The sequence below is a fragment of the Homo sapiens genome, chromosome 12 (genome assembly GCF_000001405.40).
Source record: "Homo sapiens chromosome 12, GRCh38.p14 Primary Assembly".
NCBI classification, from domain to species: domain Eukaryota; kingdom Metazoa; phylum Chordata; class Mammalia; order Primates; family Hominidae; genus Homo; species Homo sapiens.
Window position 1 is genome coordinate 132,413,584 of NC_000012.12, and position 2,228 is coordinate 132,415,811.

The following is a 2,228-nucleotide window of genomic DNA, read 5'->3' on the forward strand; positions in this document are numbered from 1 at the left end:
CAGTGGGGTCTGGGGTGTCAGTGGGGCCTGGGATGTCAGTGGGGCCTGGGATATCAGTGGGGTCTGGGGTGTCAGTGGGGCCTGGGGTGTCAGTGGGGGCCTGGGGTTGTCAGTGGGGCCTGGGGTGTCAGTGGGGTCTGGGGTGTCAGTGGGGGCCTGGGGGTGTCAGTGGGGGTCTGAGGTGTCAGTGGGGGTCTGGGGTGTCAGTGGGGGTCTGGGGGTGCCATGTTAACCACTGTAGGCTGTCCTGCAGAGCTGCCTGGGCTGTTTTAGGACGTTGAGGTTCCAGAGCAGCAGGAGGTTCCCAGAAGACAAGCTGGGCTCCAGCACCAGGACCTGGGGTTTCTGGCCCAGAGACCACAGCCCTGTCTGTGCCGGGCGCTGAGGGTACGGCAGGTCGTCCTGGCGGCCTTCTTGCCAGTCCTGTCAGGTATCAGGAGCCTAAGAGGCTGGTGAGGGGCTGCCTGCCCACCCTTGCTGACTCCGGAGGGTAACCCAGCTCCTGCCCCGTCCTGGCCCTGCTCTCCGGAGTGGGCTGTGGTCGGTGGTCCAGGGCCACAGAGCGCTGCTACCCTCTAGTGGGTACCTGGGGTCCTGCAGCTCAGAACCGCGACCCCAGCCCACGGGAGTCTCTGCGTCCACGCACCTGGACGTCCTCCTGCGGCAGGCGCCCCGGAGGCCCCTCCAGTGTTCCCACCTCAGCTCCCGGGAAGACCTCAGGGTCTCCCCCCACCAAGGCGCTTCCCCCAAGGGCCCTCCCTGCAGCCCGGGACCCGCCACACCCTGTCCCAGCTGCCGCCCCGTGCTCGGTGATTTCGAAGGACACTGGCTGAGGTTTCTACACTATCCCTCAACCGGGGGCTCCTCCAGCGACCACAGTGGAGTGGAGGGTCTGGGGCCTCCGTCCAGGCTGCGGTGGTCCATCCCTCTGCAAGCCGCTGTTTCTGGGCTCCACGCTCTGGCTTCGGAAGTGGGAGCGAGTGTTGAAATCCAGCCACCTTCGGGGGAAGGCCAGTAGCTGGGGTCCCGCCCTGCAGGCCTGTCCCGGCGTACAGAGCAGGTGACAGCTTCCAGGAGAAGGTGTGTTCTGGGGCTTGAAGGTGCCGGCGTGCAGGGAACAGCAGGTCACAGAGCCCCTGGAGACCCAGGCAGGAGGCAGACCCCACCTAGGCCCGGGTCGCACGCAGGGCAGGGCAGAGGCTGTGGGAGCCGGGAGGAGGCCCGGGGTCTGGGGAGCCCTGCCCCACCCCAGGGAGCTGTGGAGCACCCCCGACCAGGCGTGGGTGAGGCTCTCCCCTCGTTTCACGGCCGCCATGCACAACCCGGGGCCCCCGTGGGTCTGGGGCCAGGACCCAGTTTCCCTGAGGTTGAGTCTCTGTGATTTCTCCTCCAGCAGAGAGAAGGGCCTGGGCCTCGGCACCTGCACCCCTGGCACAGGGACAGTTCTGGGAAGGGCGTGGTGCCCGTCCTGGTGGCTGGAGGACGGGACTGACCCTCTGGCCACTAGGGGTCTCTCTTGCTCCGCTCTGTGCCAGAGCCGTCGCCAGGAGCCCTGGGATCCGGAACTGGGGCAGAATCCAGGAGCAGGGTGGGCCCCGAGCTCTCAGGCAGCGCTGCGGCTCCGCCCACGGCCCCTGGCAGAGTCACTCAGCCCCAGGGGCCCGAGGATGCCCCCACACACACCTGGCATGGTCGGGGTCTCTACACCTGGCATGGGGCTCCCCGAGGCTGGCTCAAGGCTGGTGGGGCCAGGGAGTCTGCATTCCTGACGTGCTCCCAGGTGACGTGGATGCTGCTGTTGAGGGACCCCAGCTGGAGAAGCCCGGTCCCAGGTGTACCCCCCTCCCCACCCCGGCAGCTAGGCCTCTGCCTGAGAACCGCCTCAGGATCTGTCCCTGCCCAAAGTGCTTCCCCAGCTCTACGGGTACAGACTCCTGGTGCTCTCCTGGCCCTGCACCTCTCCACCCTCTGCCAAGGGTGTCCCGTCCCATAGCCCTGAGGCAGCAGCTCCCTCTCGGATGAGCCACACCACCAGCTCCGTCTCCCGTGCCCTGGGGTCCTGGCAAGTGTCCTGGGGCCGGCGGAGCTGCCGCCCCATCCTCAGGCTGCAGAGGGTGACACGGCCATTTGTCCAGGCTCCCCACCAGGCCCCTGCAAGGACAGTGCGGAAGGTCGGCTGTGGTGGCCTCTGGTGAAGGATGTCCCCTCCCCCAGGAAGTCAGGGGCCC

The 2,228-nt window shown here is 67.6% G+C and overlaps 1 annotated feature.

Annotated features, from left to right (window-relative positions):
- Positions 1,360-1,498: a silencer, noted in NCBI's record as "fragment chr12:132991529-132991667 (GRCh37/hg19 assembly coordinates)". NCBI's record gives its function as "represses an EF-1alpha promoter that drives an FKBP-Casp9 reporter gene in an ReSE screen in HepG2 liver carcinoma cells {active_cell/tissue: HepG2}" and the evidence as "EXISTENCE:reporter gene assay evidence [ECO:0000049][PMID:32094911]".